General features: G+C 61.1%; 1 protein-coding gene across 2 annotated transcripts in view; it reads right to left on the reverse strand.

Annotated features, from left to right (window-relative positions):
• Positions 1-12209: 12209 nt before the first annotated feature.
• WNT7B (Wnt family member 7B) overlaps positions 12210-22175 on the reverse strand; it is a 56797-nt gene continuing 46831 nt past the window's right edge. For both annotated transcript variants that reach the window (NM_058238.3, NM_001410806.1), the window contains exon 4: positions 12210-15179. In NM_058238.3, coding sequence (NP_478679.1) covers positions 14700-15179 — 480 coding nt within the window. In that variant the 3' untranslated portion in view covers positions 12210-14699. The remainder of the gene's footprint in view (positions 15180-22175) is intronic.

A 22175-nucleotide genomic window follows, 5' to 3' on the forward strand; every position in this document is an offset into this window, starting at 1 on the left:
TCCTTGTCTGGTCTCCTTTCCAGGAAGCTCCTTCTGGAAGGGTCCACACCTTTCTCACCTCTCAGGGTCTACCAGGGAGGCCCGGGGCTGGGTGGTGTGGGGTCGGCCTCATAAGATGGGTCACACTGGGTCCCTGCATGCCCGGGGTCACAGGCGTACTCTGCCTACTCGCGTTGTTCCCCCACAGGCAGAGCAGCAGCCAGGCCTCCTGGGATGTGGCAGGTGGGCCAGTCCGTCCTAACCCCAGGTGAGCCAACCTGTGCCTGGTGACAAGGTTCCCTATGCCGCCCGCCCTGACCCACGACCTCAGCGACTGTAGCTAGCATGCTCAAAAGCTCTCAGAGAATTTCTGGAACTTCTCTTTCCTGTGGTGGTCTCACTTAGGCGCATTCTAGCACAGTCTACTGGGGTTGGCTTTCGCCAGCGCTGAATGTGGGTAACTGCGCCACCCCTCGGGTCTGCAGGAGCCAGCAGCCCAGCCTCAGGGAGCCCTTGTTTGCGGTTGAGCCCCTGGGTTTGGGCAAATGTGGCCAGGAGAGCAGCGCAGCCTGTGTGGCCCGGGGTCAACCAGTACCCAGGAGGCTCCAGAGCCTTGAGTAAAAACTTCAGGGCTGGACTCACTTCGTGGTTTTCAAATGTTTTTAGCAGCGGGGCCCCTTTGTCAAACCAACTCTTTTGTGGGACCCTGACTTGTAAAACCATCCAAGTGGAGTGTCCTGTGAGGGGGGTCTGAGGGCCAGACCCTGCCTGAGCGGGTCCTGGACACCCACCCTGAGCCCTAGACCACATCAGACATGGCCCAAAGTCCTCCCAGTGCCCAAAAGTCCTCCCACACTCTGCACCCCAAAATGACATCTGACTTCGTGGCCTCTGAGTCAGCCATGCCAGCGATCCAGGCCCCAAGCCCCTCTCCCTCCAGCACATGCGGTGCGAGATGGAAGAGACCCTGCAGCCTCTGCCACCTGGCTGCCCCCCTGCAGCTTCTGCCACCTGGCTGCCCCCCTGCAGCTTCTGCCACCTGGCTGCCCCCCTGCAGCTTCTGCCACCTGGCTGCGCCCCTGCAGCTTCTGCCACCTGGCTGCCCCTGCAAAGCCCCACCCAGTGTGAGGACAGAGATGTGCTCCTCTTAATCCCTTGGGGCCAATTGTCCTGTGTGATTTGGTTCAAAAAGTATTCGCTAAGTCCTGCTGTGTGCCAGGCTCCAGGGCACTCCAGAAAGATGCCCAGCCTTCTGTTCTTCTCTGGAAAGGTCTCCAGACCCTAAGGATGGATGGGTTGAGGGCCTCATCGGGGTCCCCTAGTCCCAGAGTGTTCCTGGATCTGACACTCAGTACACTGTTCCCAGGGCAGTCTTTGCATTCAGTAGTGCTCAAAAAACACATTCAATGGACAAAGGTGCACCGGAGCTCGTGTTCTCTTAGCGACCTGAGCACAGCCAGGCTGGGAGGGACCAGGCCTGGGGTGGGAGGAGGGGACATCGGCATCTCCTTTGGGCTTCCTGGTGCATCTGGCGGGCTCCTGAATCCTCTCTTTATTTTGATTTTTAATTTTTAAAATAGAGATGGAGTCTCGCTATGTTGCCCAGGCTGGTCTTAAACTCCTGGATTCAAGCAATCCTCCTGCTTTGGCCTCCCAAGGTTCTGGGGTCGCAGGCCTGAGCTGCGGCACCCAGCCAGGTTCCTGCCTCCTCTCTGCCTGGCGTTTGCTTCTGTACTTACAGATTCTTGTTTTCTGAGTGTGCGGAGAGCCTCCCTGGCTTCCTCTGGGCTGGAGTTTTGGCATCATCTCACCATTGAACCGGTATCTGGAAAATACCCCTCCCCTGGTTCCACAAAAGCTCGCTGTGTGCCTGCCACGCCCCGGGGTCTGTCACTGGCCTATCGCGGTGACAAGCCGGCCACCACCCCCAGCTGAGGCATTCATGCCGATCAGAACAAACCAGAGGCCTGGGGACCATGCTCAGTGGCCAGTGACTGGGAGGTGTCTTTACGTGGGGCCCGGGGGTGAGGCCTGAGGATCAGCAGGTTGACCACAGGGAGGTCTGTGGGGAGAGTCCGGGCGGAGGGGCTGAGGGTGCCGCGGTCCCAAGAGGGGGCTTGTTTAACGGAAGTTGAGGACCAGGGCAGGCACAGACCTGAGAGCGTCAGAAGGGATTAGGGGCATCCTTGGAGGTTTTGGACGGGCTGCCGGTGCGGCCTGCTGTGCATGTTACTAAGATCACTCAAGTGGCAGCTGGGAGACACGGTGGGCGGAGGCCCAGAGTTGAAGGGAGAGATGATGGTGCTTGGGCGGAGGGGATGGGGTGGCAGGGTGAAAGATGGGTGTTGGGGGTAGGGTTCAGGGGACAAAACTGGGGTTCCACGTTCTCACCTGACCCACAGGCAGACAAGGGGGTCTGGGGAGATTCCACAGGGAGACTCTGATGTCCTTGGAGGTAAGATGATCCCTGGCAGGAAGGCCTGGGGTGGGGCATGGGAAAGGTAAGAGCCACTGGTCACTGAACATCCACTCTGCACAGCACCTCACTCCCGATGCCCACGAGAGCCCTTGAGCAGGGGCCAGGATGACCTAGGCCAGGCTCAGGGCCAGGTGCTTTGCTGCACACGGAGCCCCAAGGGTCAGAGCCGACGCTCACCCAGGCCTGCCGCACGCCATCCCCCACCCGACCAGCAATCATGCCTCTGGGCTGTAATGCACCAGGACCCTTGCTTTTCTCCCCAAACCCCAATTCTGGATGCCCAGCTGCAGCCAGCTCCGATGGACCCTCTTCTGTCCCCTGCTCCAGAGGAGCTGCCCCTGGGGTCTTCTCTGAGCCTCTCTACCCAGGCCGCTTGCAGGAGGCTGAATGATGGCCCCCAAACATGTCCAGCCCCTGAGCCCTGGATTCTGGAGAGATTGCCCTGCAAGGCAGATGGGGTTGAGTGGAGGATTTTTTGATGGGAGGATTATCCGGGATGATCCGGATGGGCCCTAATGCAATCACAGGCATCCTTTTAAGAGGGAGCTGCGGCCCCAAGGCCGTGGGAAGAGGAGCGCAGGGAGATTTGAAGATGCTGCCCTCCAAGTCCGGGTGATGCCGCCGCAAGCCGAGGGCGCCGGCAGCCATCAGAGGCTGGGTCCTCCCCTGGAGCCAGGAGGGAGCGTGGCCCCGCCCACCTCTGGATTTGGGCCCAAGGATGCCGATTTCAGACTCCTGGCCTCCAGCACTGTGAGAGAATAAATGTTGCTTCAAGCCCCGCTTCTGTCATTCATTCCAGCAGCCCCAGGACACCATGCCCTCCCAGCTCAAGTTCCTCAGCGTGGAAGCCTCTTTGCTGTCCCCACCAGCGGCTCAGCCAGACTTCCCAGGTCTCTCCAAGCCTGGGAGCTCCTGGGGAACATCTTGCTTTCTTGGGACACAGCTCAGGGTCCAAGATGGGGCCATCAGAGCAGCACCCCCAACAGGAGGACGCCGGCCCCCACATGGCTCACGGAGGCCCCGCCAATCGCTGCAGGGAGTCCTGGGCAGGAAGGGCATCCCTAGGGAAGCAGGGGGAGCTCCAGCCAACCTTAGGATGCAGGGCATCACTGCACAACACACCGAGGGGAGGCGCGCCGGAGCAAGGGTGAGAGGGGGAAGTTGCCAGGCGAGTTCAGGAAGGGCTGGGGAGCTCAGGGAGGGTGGAGACCCTGGGAGGCTCTCTGGAGCGGGAGGCTCTGCGGGGTGGGGACTGTTGGATGACGCAACCAAGCATGTGCTTCAGGCCCCAAGCCCTCCATTTGAGCCCTTTTAAGAATAAAAACAAATATTTGTGTTGCATATTGTGCGTGTTGGGGTTGAGTTTTCTTCTTAAGGCTAAAAATAGGTGCATCTCCGCGTCCCCACAGGGATTCCTCCCGCCCCACCCAGAGTTGTGCAAGTCCTGGTCTGGCGCTCCGGATCTCATGCCAAGTTTTGACTTCACCGCCAGCGATGGGTGTAGGAAAGGTGGCAGAAAACGATTATGAGGTGGAGGCTGCCCACTGCAGCTGCAGAAGGCTTGGCAGGGCCAGGCAGGCCACGCCCAGGCAGGTGGCATCGACCCTGTTCTGGAAGAGGCATCGTGCCCACTGAGGCCTGAAGGGCGACCGGGTGAAGGGGCTGTGTCTCTGCCTGAGGGAACTGCCAAGGTGAGGCTGGGACAGTCCTGGACTTACTGGCCCTGGCTAGGCTGGTGTGGAGACTGAGGGGGCTAGTGAGGGGGAGCCAGGGAGCACTGGAGGATGAGAAGTCTGCAGGGCTTGTTGGGGGGTGTGGGGTGTGGGGTCCAGGGTAGACATGGGGAAATGATGGTCAGCCACTTCACGGGGTTTGGGGAAGACACTGCAGCCCCGAGTGCCTGCGGGGACAGAACAGTGTGGGGGTGCAGCTTGGCATGAACATAGGGACCCCCAGGAGAGGGGCCTGTGGGGTCCAGGGGGAGCCCAGGGCAAGTGGCCCCAGGCAATCTCCAGCAGGGAGGGGCAGTTCGGGGAAGGCGCAGCTCTTACGAGATCATGATAAGTACAGAGGGGATGGGGGGTTCAAGGAGGAGCTCTCTGGCTGGCTGGGGACAGGAGGGGACCCAGGGGCCAGTGAAGGGAGAGAGGGCCCTGGGGAGGAACCGAGGAGAGGTGAGAGACACCAGCTGAGGGGCCCTTGAAAACTAGCAGAGAGGCTGGGGGCTTCCAGGCCTCAAGGCTGAGCCAGATAATGGTCACAGGGGGAATTCATAAACTGTAAAGTGCTGTTGGCACGTGGGCAAGGGGCTCTTTGAATCTTCACCAGGAAGCGATCCAGCTGCCATGAAAATCCCCTTCTGGAGCCCCAACTTCCCAGAAGCCAACCCTGGGCTGCCTCCAGGTCTGCAGAGCTCCCAGGACACAGCCCTGCCCTCCCCTACCGCACCCACACCCCCATCTCCCCTCCACCCATGGGTCTGCCCAGGGGAGGGGAGGGGCCTTTGCTGGGCCCTGAGCAGGGCGGGTGGCTAAGAGACCTCCCAGGGCTCCTGGCTTTGCTGCCAGCTGGAGGGACACAGCTGCTCTCTGAGGGTCTCTTGGCCCCCAAGGCGGGCAGGGGGAGGGGCTTCCATGGAGTACGCCTCCCTGCTGCTACCCAGGCACTCTCAACCCAGCTTACAGGGGAAACTGAGGTAGCACGAGGCCAAGGTCACACAGATAGACCCCACCAGAGCCTGTCTGAGAGCGGCTGTCCAGCTCAGAACCCCTGCTCTCAGCCTGCTCCTGGGCCCGGCTAGCCAGTCCCTCCACCACAGGCCATGCCAGGTGAACGAGGGGCAGGTGCCTCCCCCGCCAGGTTCCCCGCTGAGCCTGTGTCCTGGCTCCTTTCCCCACCCCTGGGGGGGCCTGGAGAAAGTCCCCCCACACCTGAAGGATACCTGGGATGCTCAGCCTGGGCCAGGCACACCCTTGCCTCCTCTGGCCTTCCCTCCCTGGGGTCCCTGTCCAGAGCCTGCCTGACCTCTGTGCGGGGATGCCCCTGGTCTGCCTGCAAAATGCCTCTAGAACCCCATGCTTCTCCCATGCACCTCTTGACCTGACCTGAGAGTGGCCTCCTCACCCTCTCCCTGCCTCATCCCCTGCCTCGCTGGGCTTTTCCCTGCACTGCAGCTTAGGGACCCTCTTAGAAATGAAGGCAGACCATGTCCTTGTCTGCCACCAGCCCTGCAGTGCCCATTGAGTCACTGAGAGGAAAGGCCACATCATCTTGGTGGCCCAAAAAGACCCTGCTGTCTGCCCAGCCACACCTCTGCACTCCTCTCCTCTCGCTCTGTCCCAACCACTGACCTCCTACAGCTCCTGGCCATCAGTCATTCTCCCGCCTCCCAGCCTTACCCCTGGAACACCGTCCACACCCTCCACACCCCACTCCCTCCTCTCCTGCACTGCCATCTCTGTGTGGCCTGCTCTGCCTCTGGCTCTTCCTGAGCCATGATGACTTCCTTCCATGCTGAGTGCTTGATGATTTATAACACCTGCTTCCTTCATAGTAGGTGTTGATGGTCTCACATCCCCCTCCAGACTGTCACCTCCCTGTGGGCAGGACTTTTGCCAGACACATGGGAGAAGCAATAACGTCTGTGGAACCAATGAACAAGGGTGAGACAGAGCTTCTCACCTCTGAAGGGAACTCCCAGTGTCAGGCACAGAAGAAGAGGCTTCCCCCAGACCCTGGCCCAGAACTGCAACCCCTTCCAACCACAGAACGAAGTCTTCTTGTACTACAACTAAACATACAGCCTCTCAGCATCTCAGAATTGTGGAATCAGAACACCAGGGGCTGCACACCTCCCTCTCCATCATGCGGAGATCAAACCATGCTTGAATGCCTCCAGTGGTGGGGAATTCCCTCCTCCTAGTGGCTTGGCTAGCCTGAAAAAGGCCTTTCTAATGCAGCCTGAGGCCTGCCCCTACTAGGCCTCCTAGGGCTGCCCCATGCAGTGTCTAGAATGAGAGGTGCTGGTGGATCCACATAGCAGTAACCCTTGCCACAGAGTGGGGCCCTTTGAGATTGAGGAGTGCCCTTCCCTGCAGAGTACTCCCTGGCTCCCTGAGATAGTCCTGGTGACTCGGATCTGTCGCCACCTGCCCTCACCCTCCCAGAGTGTCTGTGGTTGAGATTTAATCGATCCCTCTTTCCTGGGAACCAGGTGAGGAAGCAGATGTTAGTCACTGTCTGTGTCAGGACCCATTGGCCAGCCTGTCCCCCCTCTCAGCAGGCAAGGTGCCCCCCTTGCAGGGCTGGTTGACAAGGAGCCCAAAGCCCTTGGCATTGGCCTTGTTGGTGCAATGCAGGCATTTATGATGAGCCTGGGGGAGCAGCCTGCTCTGTGCCCACCCAAGCTCAGCCCATCCTGGGGTCTGATACGAACCCCAGGGATCAGCCTGTCCAAATAGGGCAACCGAGGCCTAGAGGAGGAGTGTGGAAGCCTCTCCTGGAGAGCTTTTGCTGGGCTAGACGGACCTGGGGAAACAGCCTCCTCCCCAGGGCAACCTGAGGCCAACAGCCCTAGCCCACTGGGCCTGGCAGGGGGCTTGAGAGGGGGCTAGGAATAGCACCAAGAGGGGCCCCAGTGCCCAGCCCTCACTCCCCACTCCCCTACAGCCTCATCACAGCATGGGACACTTTCCTCCTGGGACCTAGGAGCTTGGCAGGCAGCCGGGGGTGGCTGGGCAGCCACAGGCCTTGTCCAGAGGGCACCAGGCTGCAGGGCCACAGGTGGGTGGGGTGGAGGGGGTGAGAGCTCCTTGTCCAGAGGGCACCAGGCTGCTGGGTCACAGGTGGTTGGGGTAGGGGGGCGAGAGCTCCTTGTCCAAAGGGCATCAGGCTGCAGGGCCACAGGTGGGTGGGATGGGGGGTGAGAGTTCCTGCTGAATGCTAGAAACCATGGGGCTCAAGAGCAAGAGTCCCCTCTGTCCCTCCAGAATCTTCTGAAACCTTGTCTCCAAGCTCTACCAGCCCCTGCCCCAGCTCCCACTAACTCCATCTCCACTGTCCCTTCAGTTACCCCAGGCTCGCCGCTTCCTTTCCCTCTGGCTCCCACGGTCTCCCCCCTTTCCTTTCCTACTTTTGCTTCTGGTCTCACCCTCCACACAGCTCCTCTAGGAAGCCATCCCTGAGTGCCCAGGCAGGGCTGCACTGCTGGCCCCTACTTCCCTCCATGGCACACTTGGTCATGGAGGCTGAGGGGAACTGTTCATTTGTCATTTTGCCCCTCGTCCTGGCCTGGGGCTAACTGGGAGAGGACCCCACTTGAGACTCAGCTCTGAGACCCCACAATGCCCGACCATGCTCCAGGCGCTGAAGTGCCCAGCACGTGATGGGCACGTGAAGACATGAGTGAAGAAACGAGTGTGTGACTGGGTGGATGCCATGGGCCGTGCTTGGTGGGAGCCAGAGGGAGGGTTGGAGCCGGGGGCCAGGGAAGAACCGTGGGCAGGGCCCCCACCCATCTGGAAAAGTGGGATGGTGTACGCAGGTCCAGCCGGCAAGTGGCCCCAGCTGTGGCTTCTTTGGCCCCAGCCGCTCGGACGGGGATGGTGTGCGCAGGTCCAGCCGGCAAGTGGCCCCAGCTGTGGCTTCTTTGGCCCCAGCAGCTCAGATGGGGATGGTGTGCGCAGGTCCAGCCGGCAAGTGGCCCCAGCTGTGGCTTCTTTGGCCCCAGCAGCTCAGATGGGGATGGTGTGCGCAGGTCCAGCCGGCAAGTGGCCCCAGCTGTGGCTTCTTTGGCCCCAGCAGCTCAGATGGGGATGGTGTGCGCAGGTCCAGCCGGCAAGTGGCCCCAGCTGTGGCTTCTTTGGCCCCAGCCGCTCTGACGAGGGCTTCCAGGGCTGCAGACGCCACAGGGACCTCTCCAGGGGTCCTGCCCAAGACCTTCCACTGGGCTTCTCCTGGCACTGTGCTTGTGAGGCCACCCTTAGGCCTCAGGGTGGTTTGGCTGCCTGCCCAGGGAAAGCAGTGTGGCCTCAGGTAGGACACCTGGGTCTGGACCCAGAAGGTGTCCCGGCCTTGCCCTGCTGGCCTCAGGCCCTTGCCTGCAGATGGAGTGAGAGGACTCCTCAGCTTCCGCCTGCGTCTCCTCCCCGCTGCTTCCGAGTGAGGCTGGGAGGGTTTTCCCTTCTGTGGCTACAGGACTCCAGCTGTGAGAGGTGAGTGGCCCAGACCACAAGAGGTCCTGGACACAGGACAGTGGCCTGGAGGCCCAGGCTGCCTCCCCTGGCACGACCTCCATGTGTCCTAAGGTGGGGTCAGCAGACGACTCGAAAAAGAGCTGGGTCTCCAGTTCTGGCTGGAGGCACTGCTCACCCCAGGGTCCTGGCAGGAGCACCTGCCAAGGGCAGGCTGTAGGTGAACTTTGGGTCCTGAGACCCCCTCTCCTTTGCATTTTGCTGGCCACCTGCCCACTGGGCACTGTGTATCTATGGGGCACTGCTGTGGGCATCAACATGCAACTCCCTGGATCCCCAAAACTCACAGGCTCTGATTCCCAAGGGTCCTAGGGCACCCAGGCCAAGTGGCTCTGAGTCCCCGGGTCCTTCAAGTGCAAAGACCTGATGAACAGACAGGTAGAACCCTAGGGAAGGAAGGCAGGTGCAAGCTCAGACTCAGAGGGAAACAGGCTAGGACGAGGCCTGGGTCACCGCCAGCTGGAGTCCCTGGTTCCCGTGGCGGAAGGAGTCTGCAGCACCTGCTCCAGCTTTGGGCTCTCCCGGGAGCAAGCTGGCGGCTCTGCTCGGGGAGCTCAGGTTTTCCCGTGTGTCTGGCACACGGTGATTCAGCCACCCCTCCCTGTGCACCGCTCTGCCCCTCTGCCCCTCTACCCCCTGACCACGGCCCCTCCCAAGGGGCCAGCAAGACTAGCCCAGCTTGGGGAAAAGGTGGTCCACAGCCCCTCCTTCCTGATCCCCCTCCTTTAACTCCCAGTTCTGGGAGTTGTGAAGTTCACTCAGACGCATCGAACTCAGACCTTGCCTGCTGCTTTTTAACTGGGTCTTTCTTGTTCTGTTGGTGAAGATACAGTGTTGCTCGTCATCTCTCTGCGACCAGCCATAGCCACTCTGTTCCCCTTCATCTCTCTGTGACCTTGGACAAGGTCCCTGGGCCTCTGTGTCCCCTCATGGGAGGAGGCACATGAGTTGGGTAGAAGGAAGACCCCAGAGGGCCTGGATTCAAATCCTGGTTCTGCCTTTCACTGGCTGTTGAGCTTGGACGGGTTTCCTTACTCTCTGTGCCTCAGTTTTGCCATCTGTAAAATGGAACTAGCACTGACCTATTTGGGGAAGGGGTGTTGTAAAGGTCGTGGACACGTGTGGAACAGGCCCAAGGCCTAGCACGGGGCTGTGCTGGACCTCAGCCAGCTTGGGAGACAGGGGCCGTCACAGAAACAGGACGCTGCCCCTAAGGGTGGGAGCTGAGGCAGGGGAGGAGGAGAGAGCAAGACTCTACAGCCAGCTTGTTGCAAGCCGGGGTCAGGGAAGGAAGAGTGTGGGGTGCATCCTGGGAAGAGCCAGCGGGAGCACAGGCAGGGCTGGGGCTCACTCTGCAGGGGGACGGGGAGGGGATGGGCTGTGGGCACCTCAGTGGGTCAGAAAGGACTCTAAGGGTACACCAATGAGACATCCTCTGCCCTCCAGGGCCACAGGGCCCCTGTGTGCTCTGGCCACCAGACAGTGCCAAGTGAATGGCGCGGGCAGCCCTGTGGGACAGGGCAGGGTGGGAGCCAGGGCTGCAGCTCAGCTGTGAGTCAGGGAAGGACGTGGATCCCCCAAGAGAGGAGGAGGGGACCCGGTGGCAGCAGGGCAGAGGCTCTGTTCCCTTACGTCCCTTCTACAGAGCGGGAAGCCCGGGCTCAGAGGCCTGGAGGAGTGAGTGCAGAAAAAACCCTTTCCTCGCTCCCAGGCTGCCTGGGTCGTCAGCTGTTGCATCCCCCCAGATGGGCCACCAGCCTCACCACCGGCAGCTGTGGGCACAGGCACCGCAGGGGAAGTGGGGTCGGAAGTCAGGGCCAGCCCAGGGCAGAACTGAAGTTGCAAAGGAATTAGCCAGCGAGCCTGCGTAGAGATGGGCTCCCAGAACTCCGGCCCTTCCAGCCATCGGTCCCCAAACCTTACGCAGCAAAGCCCACAGGAATGGCCTATGTCTGGGAGCAGCCAGGTGGCACGCCTGGTGCGGGAACCGCTGGGGCCAATCAGAGGGCAGGAAAGCCCCTGGTGTGGGCAACACCTGCAGGGCAGGGGTGGCCAGGGCTAAGCACGTGGGGGCACCACCCCATGCAGCAGTGAGCCACTGAGTGGGGGTGCGAGGGGCTGGCCAGGGGGAAATGCTCCCAAAATGTGAGCCTTAGGGGCGGAGGCTGGGGTCAGGTGGGCCCCCGGGCCAGGCCAGCAGTAAGGGTGAGGCCTCCAGCAGGCCCCCTGGGAGGATGTGCAGGGCAGCCCGAGGGGACTGGGTGGGGGTTGAACCAGAGCCAAGAAATCAGTACAGTCTGGGCACCAGGGCCGGGCATCTCAGAGGCTTCCTCATTCCTGGCCCTGTGGGAGTAGCCGGACCCCGGCGTGCCGCTGCTGCCGCCGCCGCCGCTGATTCACTTACTGTCTCACGGGGAACCAGGGCCTCCTGCCAAACTGCCCAGCCCAGGCCCCATGCACGCCAGCCCCATGAGCCCCACCGACCACCAAGTCCTGGCTCCGGGCCACCCTCTGCTCTTAGATGGGGAGACTGAGGCTGTACATCCAGGAGGGTCGCCCCAGAGGCTGCCCATGCATCAGGAAGGAACAGGGCTGGGACTGTGAATCCAACACTCTTTTCTGGCTGTCGCCCCCTCTCCACACCCTGGAGGGGTCCATTCCCCTTGAGAAGCCCCTCCACTGGGATCTGGGTCTGGGGCCAGTTCCGTGGGTGCCCGGGCTGGGCACAGCAAGGATGGGGTCTGTTTGATCAGCAGTTCCACCCGATGCCAGGCTGCTGGGACAGCGGGCAGTGGCCAAACCGGCCCTGCCACATGCCTCTGGCCCTCGGGGAAGTGCTGTGCATCGCCGTGTGCACGGCTCTCGCAGGATGCAGGCTGGGAGGCCCTGCCATGGCCAGGCTCTGGGGAGGAGCAGCGGAGCCTGTGGCCAGCTGCAGGCTGTTGAGCTTCTGGGGGCCTCATGCCACCTTCCCAGGCCTGGTGAGAGCAAGGCAGTCCCCAGGGCTGTGGAGCCAAAATCCACCAGACCCAGCTGGATGGACCTACAGGGACCCTGAAAGCCAGACCCCACCCTGGTCAGAGGGAAGCAGAGGCACAGGGCCCAGTGGGGCCTGCTGTCCCTTCTTCTTACAGCAGCTCTGGCCCAGCCCCCAGTAACCAGGTGCCAGGCCCATGGCCCTCCTGTCCCCGCAGCCTGAGCCTGGTGCTGTCCAGCAAGGCCTCAGGGTCTGTGTCCAGTGCCCCAGCTCCCCTGGCTGGGTGGGGACAGCCCAAAGGTGCCTGGAGGCAGGTAGGCATGACTTGATCTCAGGGGTGGGCTCTGGGCAAGGGTGTCTGGTGTGAGGATGGGAGGGACGGCCCACAGAGGGGCAGGAGGAAGCCAGACAGCTGGGGGCACATGAAGGCCTCGGGGGCTCGTCCTGGGTGGGCAGAGCATGTGTCCCCACCGGTGGGGCCGCAGCTGCAGGTACATCGCATGGGGATTCCACACACACTCACTTTTCCGATTCCAGCTTTTATTGGGCCGAGCACTCCCCTCCAGGGGAGGCTGCCGTCAGAAGGGTGGGGACGCAGCACCTTGGTCGCCATCACCCCCATCTGGGCCACCCTGACCCCCGTCTCACCCAGGCAAAGGGCCTGTTGCTGGCAGACTTTGGGGTGGGCAGGGGCTCAGTGGGGTGCCCGGCAGCCAAGGGACAGTGCGAGTGTCTCGGTGGCATCAGGGGCCCCAAGGGTCTGTTGAAGCAGGAGGAGCCTGGTTCGGGAGATGGGGGATGGGATGGGGGGTGGGTATGGGGAATAGGGATGAGGGATGGGATGGGGGATGGGGTCAGGGATGGGATGGGGGATGGGATGAGGGATGAGATGAGGGATGGGATGGGATGGGGGATGAGGGATGGGGGCCGCAGCCATCCCCCTCTCCGGTACCCAGTGTAGGTCACAATAATTTAAAGACACTATAGACATTTCGACGCTATATAACAACATAAGTTAACCAGGTTCCTTGCAGAGGCTGCCGGGCCTATGGACTCAGGTGTGTTCTGGGACTTGGGGAAGGTAAGGGGATGGGGCCAGGCTGAGGGTGGGGCATTCACGGTGGCCCGGAGACTCAGAGCGTCCAGGCATGGTTAGAGGCACATGGGCTGGACCACAGGGCCAGAGCCCAGGAGGGACCCACTTGCCCCAGGCTGAGCCCAGGCCCTTGGCTTGTCGGCTGCTCAAGAACACATTCCTACGGGCTTCCAAGAGAACACACCCTAAATGGGGGCCAGGCCGTGGGCAGTGGGGGTGCACCAGGAGCCAGCTGCAGACCATCCTCTCTGGCCTCGGACAAGTTCCTCCCTCTGTCACTCATGCTCCTCAGAGACAGGGGTGGGAGCATCCAGAAAGGACATGTCCAGCTCTGGATCCAGATTTTCTCAGCACTGGGGTCAGGGTAAAAGGACCAGGACAGGGCTAGGCGAAGCCTCAAAGGCACCGAGGGGAGTGCAGGCCCCAATGAGGCTGTCAGGGGGTGGAGGGAGCAGCCAAGTGCCTCAAGGCATGGGAGCTACCTACTGCCACCCCGGGCATCCTGATGTGTTCTCCCAGGTCCAGAGCCCCAGGCTGGGCAGGAGAAAGGTGGAAGCCTCCAGTCACAGCTGCAGGGTCTCTGGTAGGTCCTTGTGCCACTCTGGGCCTCAGAGTTCCCATCTGTCAAGTGGGACAAACATCCCTGACCACTCACCACCTGCCTGACCCCCGCGGCAGCACTGTCCCAGGGGTCAGGCTGGCTCCAGGGGGAAGGGGGTCTCTGTAAACTGGAGGTGCCAGGCCGGGAGGGTGACAGGATGAGGGAGGGAACGAAGGACTCCTGGAACCTGACGTGGGTGATATTTTGATTTGCTTGATATTATTTTCTTTTCTTTTTTTGAGACAGAGTCGTGCTCTGTCACCCAAGTTGGAATACAGTGGCACAATCTTGGCTCATTGCAACCTCCACCTCCCGGGTTCAAGCAAGTGTCCTGTCTCAGCCTCCTGAGTAGCTGGGATTACAGGTGCACGCCACCACGCCCAGCTAATTTTTGTATTTTTAGTAGAGACAGGGTTTCACCACGTTGGCCAGGCTGGTCTCGAACTCCTGACCTCAGGTGATCCACCTGCCTCGGTCTCCCAAAGTGCTGGGATTACAGGTGTGAGCCACCGCGCCCAGCCATTGATAGGATTTTCAAAAGAAGGAAAGACGGCATGGAGGAGCCTGTCCATGGCTCTCCTCCAAGGCCCGGTCAGGGCTGTGTGGTCTGAAGAGCCCCTGCCCAGCTCACTTCTAGGACCTGCAGGCACCGCGTGGTCCCCATCAACCCCAGGCTGCCTCAGCTCTGCAGGGGCAGAGGGCCGGCCAGGTGGGGCCGGGAAAGGAAACAGAGGGTGTCTAGGGGATGGGCTGACACAGAGTACGGAGTTAGGACTGGCTATGTGTTAGTGCCGAGAATCCTCTTCTGATACTAAGAAAACATAAATAATTTGTGTCAACATCTGTCCCCACCGCCCCAGGGCCCAGCGGCAGACCCAGCCTGGGAACTGGTCTGGAGAGGCCAGCCGGCGTAGCTTTTCTGTGTCCATGCCGCCAGGTGGGGCTGGGGACGCTCAGTCTCCTCATCACTTTGCTCTCTGGGATACAGGTGTGTCCTGGACGTTCATTTTCCCAGAGAGAAGAAAGAGAACTTGCCGGGCCCCGTCGGGGAGCACCAAGACCCCTGGCCTTGCTCTCTGGGTGGGTCACGGGTGCTGTTCTGCCGCAGGAGGTGATGGGAGGAGGTGGCAGGAAGGAGCCCCAGGGAGGCGGGCAGAGGGCGTGGGCCCCGGCCGGTGCCCTCCTGCACCTGGAGCTCCCCGCTTCTGCACCCGTCTATGTCTGCTGCTGGCAGCACCAAGGCAGGGAAGGTGAGGAGTGGATGTGCAAAATGCCGCCGGGTTCCAGGGTGCCCGCGGCCGCCTCCGGGCCTGGCCTCACTTGCAGGTGAAGACCTCGGTGCGCTCGCTGCAGGTGTTGCACTTGACGAAGCAGCACCAGTGGAATTTGCAGTTGCACTGCCACACCTTGGTGTACTGGTGGGTGTTGTAGCCTCGGCCGCAGCACATGGTGTCACAGCCGTCCGCGCCGGGCGACGTGCGGTTGCAGAGACGGCCCTGCGTGCCCACGCTGCCCGTGGCCGCGTCCTCCTCGCAGTAGTTGGGCGACTTCTCAATGTACACCAGGTCTGTCTCCATGGGCTTCTGATAGCTGCGCAGCTGTTTGATGCGCAGGAAGGTGGGCTGCCGCAGACGGCTGGCCCGCACCACCTCCACCTGCACGGCCGCGTTGTACTTCTCCTTCAGCAGGTGGCCCACCTCTCGGAACTTGGGCAGCGTGGTCCAGCAGGTTTTGGTGGTGCAGGAGCCAGACACGCCGTGGCACTTGCACTCCAGCTGCATCCGGTCCTCTAGAACCTGCGGGTGACAGGGAAGCTGCTCGGCACGGCATGGCCCAAGCTGGGCCCCTCTAGGTTCCCCTACCCCTGCCTCTAGCCCAGCCCTGGAGCCCGCTCCTCCCCTTGGGCTGTGTGACCACAGGTGAGTGTCTCTCCCTCTCTGACCCTCAGCCTCCTCACCTATTACATGGGGCTGCTAACAATAGGTCTCCACTGCATAGGAGGTTGTGAGGGTACAGTGAGAATATTCAGGACTTGGCAGAGCCTGCTGTACATTTATTGAAGGTGCTTTGTTAGACTCTCACAGCCCTTCAAGGAGATGCTATATCCTGGTCATGCACTGGTGAGGAAACCGAGGTTTGGGGCTGTGGGACCTGCTGCAGGTCACAGGCAGCAGGTGGGGTAGGCCCAGCAACAGTAGGTGCTTAATAAATGCTCATTACCCCACCCTGCCATCTCTCCCGCTCCCCACCCTCGAGCTTAGCGTAGGGTCTGGCATGCAGTTGGTGTTTAATGGAAGCCTGGTGTGCCGGTGGCCCTCGGCGCACGTTGCCCAAGGCCAAGGGGAGCAGGGGAGGCGAGTACACGGATCAGCGAGGCCCGGGCATGCTGAGAAGCCGACAGCCCCGGCCCGCCCGCTGTTCTTTCTCCCCAGCTCCACAAGGGCCCTCCACGGGTGCAGCCGAGTGTTTTCCTTGGGCCTCCCTCCATGGCCCCGGAAGGCTGATTCCCAGAGCCAGCCCTGACCCCAGGTACTCATTTACCCGGATCGAAAGGGCCCTGCCAGCCGGGCCTGATTGAAGATGGGGAATTATTAGCTGGCGCCCCACGGCTGCAGAGAGGCCATTTGTCAGCTGTCAGAGCTCTGCTGGCCTCACTCGGCAGCCCAGCCCTGCCGGGGCTTGGCCACCCTCTGTCCCTCGGGCCAGAACTCACGGTCATGGGGCACCTGCTGTTGGCCCCCAGCTCTAGCCTAGTGGAGAAGTCCCCCAGAAAATGAATGAATGAATGAGTACAAGAAAAAGAGGGAGAGAACCCCACAGAGATGGCTACTGCCCCAAGCAGCTTCCCTGGCCTGATTGCATGAGGTCCTCTGGGGCTCACAGTTCAGCATGGGACATAGTGAAGGTGCTGCGGGAACCCAGGAGAGCCTAATCCTGCTGCAGTGAGGGTCCTTGAGGTAGGGCTTCCTGGAGGAGGTGTGGGTATTGATGGATGAGTCGGAGCTCGTTAGACAAAGAGGACAGCATTCCAGGAGGGGTTCAACATGAGCGAAGGTCTGGAGACCACTGAGCATGAAGGAAAAGGCTGGGCCCAAAGGCTCATCAGGTGGGTGCCAGGTGGGCCCTAGGCTGGCAGGTGGGTGCTGGGGGTCCCAAAGGCTCATCAGGTGGGTGCCGGGTGGGCCCTAGACTGGCAGGTGGGTGCCGGGCGGGCCCTAGGCTGGCAGGTGGGTGCCGGGGGACCCAAAGGCTCATCAGGCAGGTGCTGGGGGGCCCAAAGGCTCATCAGGCGGGTGCTGGGTGGGCCCTAGAGTGGCAGGTGGGTGCTGGGTGGGCCCAAAGGCTCATCAGGTGGGCACCAGGTGGGCCCTAGAGTGGCAGGTGGGTGCTGGGTGGGCCTGAAGGCTCATCAGGTGGGTGCTGGGTGGGCCCTAGGCTGGCAGGTGGGTGCCGGGCGGGCCCAAAGTCTCATCAGGCAGGTGCTGGGTGGGTCCAAAGGCTCATCAGGTGGGTGCTGGGTGGGCCCTAGGCTGGCAGGTGGGTGCTGGGTGGGCCCAAAGGCACATCAGATGAGTGCTGGGTGGGCCCTAGGCTGGCAGGTGGGTGCTGGGTGGGCCCAAAGGCTCATCAGGTGGGTGCCGGGTGGGCCCTAGGCTAGCAGGTGGGTGCCGGGTGGGCGCAAAGTCTCATCAGGTGGGTGCTGTGTGGGCCCTAGGCTGGCAGGTGGGTGCCGGGTGGGCCCTAGGCTGGCAGCCTGGAGCTGGGGTGTTTTCTGCTCTGCATCAGTGATGCCCTTGGACAAAGACTGGAGAGACTGGGGAGACTGGAGAGACTTGAGGGAGGTGGGAGAGGGAGGCTGATGTCCCTCCCAGGATGGCAGAGGGTGGGAGGAGCCCGGGTGTCCTGAGAAGAGGGCGGGGCAGCTTTGGGGAATTGCAGGGCTAAGGGGCATCTGGGCCAAGGTCATGGGCCAGAGCCTGGACTGCGTGTCTGGGCGACCCCCAGAGAGTATATTGGGACCTCCTCCCTGCCTCCTGTCCCTCTCCCATCCTGTCCATCACCCCAGCTCCCTGTTCATCTCTGCTGGGATCTGTCCCCTCCTGGAAAAGCCCTTCCCTCCACTAACCTGCCCTTCAGGCCTGGAAGTGTCCCTGGCCCTGGCCACACGGCCTGCTCGGATGCTCCCCAGGCCAGGCGCCACCCCAGGAGCTGCCCTGATGGTGGCCCCTCTCGGAGTTCCCAGCCGGGAGAAGTTCACCCCACCCCGGGCTGCTCACCCTCCTCAGATGGGCCTGGATGGCCGGAGACCTGGCAGGCCTGTCCAGACTAGAGGGTGTGCAGGCCACGTGGTCTAGGCCCAAGCTGCCCTCTAGTGCTCCTGCTGTGGCCCAGGATGGCTGCCCCTGGTACTGTGCCCTGTATCCCTCCCCCTCCTCCCTCCCCTGTCCCTGTCTCCCGGTCTTCATCAAGGCCAGGGAACCCAGCTGCATGCTACTGCCCGCCTGGGGATAATCGGCTCCCGCAGGGCCAGGCCCGTGACCATCCGCAAATAAAGCCTACTGGGCCGCTGCTTGCAGAGCGAGGGGCCACATCCTCGCTTGGCTGGATCCCTTGGGTCAGAGCCTCTCCCAGGAAGTGATCACAGGGTTCAAGAATGTGCCGTTTCCTTCTCCAGTGCCCTGGGCATTCGAGCAACAGCAATGGTGGTGCCAGCACTGAGACCGGCCCCCTGCCCCAAGAGACCACCTGGCAGGGCACAGAGTGAGCTCATCTTGCTCAGGGGAGCTGCAGGCTGCCGCAGGGGCCGCTCCTCCAGGCCTTGGTTCCTCCTCGACGCTGGGGGCCTGGTTGGGCAGGGGGGTGGTGGACTGAGGGGGCTCCAGGAAAGGGCCAATTCAATGTTCTTTCCAGAATAAGGGTGTAGCCTGTGCTCTGGAAACAGTGCTCAGTTACAGCCAGGCAGGGGAGTCATGGGGTTGGTGGACTAAAGTCCTTCCAGGGCGAGACTGACCAGCCCAGGAGCCTGGCGTCCGATATTCCGGCCACTGGGGCCGACAGAAGGCACCTCACCCTGGATCCTGGCCATGGCCTGCGGCTGTGGAATGAGGTGCCTCACACCCTCTTCCACAGCACCTCCCATGCTGGCCGGTCCCTGCCCCTAAGTAAGTGTGGCCCTGACCTGTGAGCCCCTCAGGGACACAGCACACGTCTGCTTCACCCTCTGACCACGAGCCCACAGAGTGGACTGAATGTGGCCTCGAGTGAAGTTACATCATGAGCCACTGGCCGAGAAGGAGAGTGTGGAGGGTGTGCCCCTCCCAGGATCCGGCGCTCCCATTAGGACGGTGTGAACAATGCGCCCACCCAGCAGGACGCTGTGGACCCTCAGTCAGGGAAGGGCTGTGCCAAGACGTGGGACATGGCCAGCTAAGGGGGTTCCCACCCCCTGGCTCCAGGAGCTGGTGGAACTCCACAGCGATAGCTTCTAACCTCATGTCACCAAGAGAGGTGCCCTCAGCTGTCCGGACAACAGCCCCCAGGCCTCTGCAGATGGACAATCTCTTGCCTTCACTGGGTTGGTCTTGGGGGCATGGCCTCTGTCTGCCCTGCTGACCTGCCTGCCCCACGTAGCAGTGGGGACCATGTGCCAGGGGCAGAGCTGGGGGCCGGGCACTGGGCACTCAGGTCTCCAAAACCTCAGGGGCTGCTCTGACAGTTTTCCGCACAGGCACCCTGCGGCAGCCCATTAAAGGTCACCCCCGCCCCCCAGGGAGCTTGGGGAAGGGCAGCCAGGGCCTTGGTCTGGTAGAAGTGGGGGCAGGGCGGGGGCGGGCCTCCAGACTCTGCCCATCTCACTCTTGCCCATCAGGGACACCAGCCTGGGCCACATGCCAGCTAGGGGAACGGCATAGCAACCCCCCAAATTCATGTCTGCTCAGAGCCTCGGCAAGTGACTTTATTTGGAAGTAGGGCCTTTACAGATGTGGTCAAGGAAACAACGGAGAGGAGGTCACCCTGGGTTGTCCAAGTAGGCCCTAAATCCAATGAGAGTGTCCATATAAGAGATGGAACAGGGCCAGGTGCAGTGGCTCACACCTGTAATCCAAGCACTTTGGGAGGCCGAGGCGGGCAGATCACCTGAGGTTAGGGGTTCAAGACCAGCCTGGGCAACATGGTGAAGCCCCATCTCTACTAACAATACAGAAATTAGCTGGGCACAGTGGCACACGCCTGTAATCCCAGCTATTCGGGAGGCTGAGGCAGGAGAATTGCTTGAACCCGGAAGGCAGAGGTTGCGGTGAGCAGAGAGCAGGCCACTGCACTCCAGCCTCAGCGACAGAGCAAGACTCCATCTCAAAACAAAGAGATGGAAGAGAAGACGACTCAGGCTCAGAGGAGACCTGGTGAAGACAGGCAGGGGCTGGAGGGATGTGGCCACAGCGGAGGAACACTGGGAGCTGAGGAATGCTGCGAGAGCCAGGAAGTCTCCTCCCCTGCTGCCTAGAGGGAGTGCAGCCCTGCCAACCAGCACCTCGATTTTGGACTTGGGGCCCCAGAGCTGAGAGAGAACAGGTGTCCTTTGCTCTAAGGCCCCACCCGCGGCACTTGTCTGTGGCGGCAGTCAGCTGCTTTCCACCCACCTCACTGTGCAGCGGGGTCCTGAGGAAGCTGGGGGGCAGGGGCAGGCCTGGTACTCTGTGATGGGGCTAGGGCCCCAGCACCAACCCAGGAAGGGCTGGATTCAGTGCTTATGGAAAGTTCCAAAGCCCCACCCTACACCCACCTCCCACTGCCGTGATGCCACCACCCTCGGCCTTCTCCAAGGGCTCAGACCACGCTTGTGCCCCACAGGTGCACAGGGTCGGGGCAGTGAGGAGTTGGGGGACAAAGTGCATTGCACCCACTGTGCAGATGAGGAGGTCAAGGCTCAGCAGCAGCGTGGGTCAGCCAGGGCCCCACCGGCCATCCGAGACAAGGCTGGTAGGAGAATTGGCCACTGGCGGCATCATCAGAGCCCTTTCCTGTGGCTGTCCTCTTTGTCTCCTGCCCACCCGTGGGGACCATCACCAGCCGCCTTGTTTTCCCACCTCCTGTCTCCATTTCCCTTCTGCCTTTCCATCACTTGTGAGTCACCAGACACCTCCAAGTCCCACACCAAGTCAGCCCTGGGGTTCACACAGCACCCTAGAGCTAAATCAGACACAACCCTGGTCCCTGAGTTGGTCAGTGTCACTGCCCCAGGGCCCTGCAATGGCACCTGTAGCCCAGAGACCAACACCACCCTACCCGGCCATCCTGGCCCTGGTTTCCCCATACCGCATACCACGACATACCACGACCTTGGTTCCCCATGCCTTTACCTGTGCTATTCCCTCTGCCTGGAGTGCTCTTGCCCGCATCTCTGCTGTGTACACTTCCCCACAAGCAGGGACCCGAGCTTAAGCCTCCAGAGCCACTCATCCAGGTCTGCTGCTCACTCTGAGCCTCACTCTCCTTATCTTTAAAATGGGGAGAGTGAGAGTTTCTTCCCCGGGGGTGTGGGAAAGGCTCTGCTCAGAACCTAAGCAGCTGCAGAGGCTCGAGGATGGTGGTGGTTCCCACGAGGGCTCAGCCTTGCCTTCTCCTCTTTCTCCTCCTCCTCCAGGGAGTCCTCCCAGATGCCTCCAGGTAGGTGAACCACACTTTCCTCTGGACTCTCAAGGTTCGTAGGCCTCCTTTATGGCATGGACTGTGATCTGCCTGTACCTGGAGACTAGTGCTCACATGCTGTCTGTGAGTTCCTTGGAGGCAAAGCCTGTGTCACTCATTCCTTTATCCATCCATCTATTCACCCATCCACCCACTCACCCATCCATCCTTCCATCCACCCGTGAATCCACTCATCCATCCACCCACCCACTGATCCATCCTTTGATTCGTCCATCTACTTATCCTTCCATCTGTACATCCACCCACCCACCCACCCACCAATACTTCCGTCCATCTTTCCACCCACTCATCCTTCCAACCATCCTTCCACCCATCCCCTCATTCATCCATACTTCCATCCATTCATGCATCCATCCACCTGCCCATACACCCATCCTTCCATCCATGCATCCACTCATCCATCCTTCCACCCACCCGCCCATCCTTCCCTCCATACTTCCATCCACCCATCTTTCCATCCACCCGTGAATCCACTCACCCATCCACCCACCGATCCATCCTTTCATTCATCTGTCTACTTATCCTTCCATCCACCCACCGATCCACTCAACCATCTACCCATCCATCTATCTTCCCATGCACTCTTCTATACATCCACCCACTCATCCTTCCATCCATCCATCCAACCATCTACCCACTCATCCACTCATCTATCTACCCATCCATCTATCCTCCCATCCACCCACTCATCCTTCCATCCATCCACTCATACATCTATCCATCCATCCAACAATAACTTAATAACCACCTGCATGATAACCTCCACATCTACAAGAGAAAGTCAAACCCCTGGCCTGGTGTTCAAGATCTCTTCTGTGCCAGGCCCTACTTGCTTCCCAAGCCCTGTGGCCATCAAAGCTTCACTCTGACACTCTCCTACACAACCAAGCCCTCACCGTCCTGGGTGTGACCCCTGCACCCCTCATGTGGACCCAGTTCCCACAGCCAGGGCCCTGATTCCTCTCTGCCCCGTGCCCAGCCTAGCACCTGGCACAGAAAAGGGCAGTGAGTGACCAGTGGCCTCAGCTATGGTCCCTGGGCCCGAGGGATTCTTCAGCTCCACTTTGCCTGGAACGGCAAGT

Source organism: Homo sapiens, chromosome 22 (genome assembly GCF_000001405.40).
Source record: "Homo sapiens chromosome 22, GRCh38.p14 Primary Assembly".
NCBI classification, from domain to species: domain Eukaryota; kingdom Metazoa; phylum Chordata; class Mammalia; order Primates; family Hominidae; genus Homo; species Homo sapiens.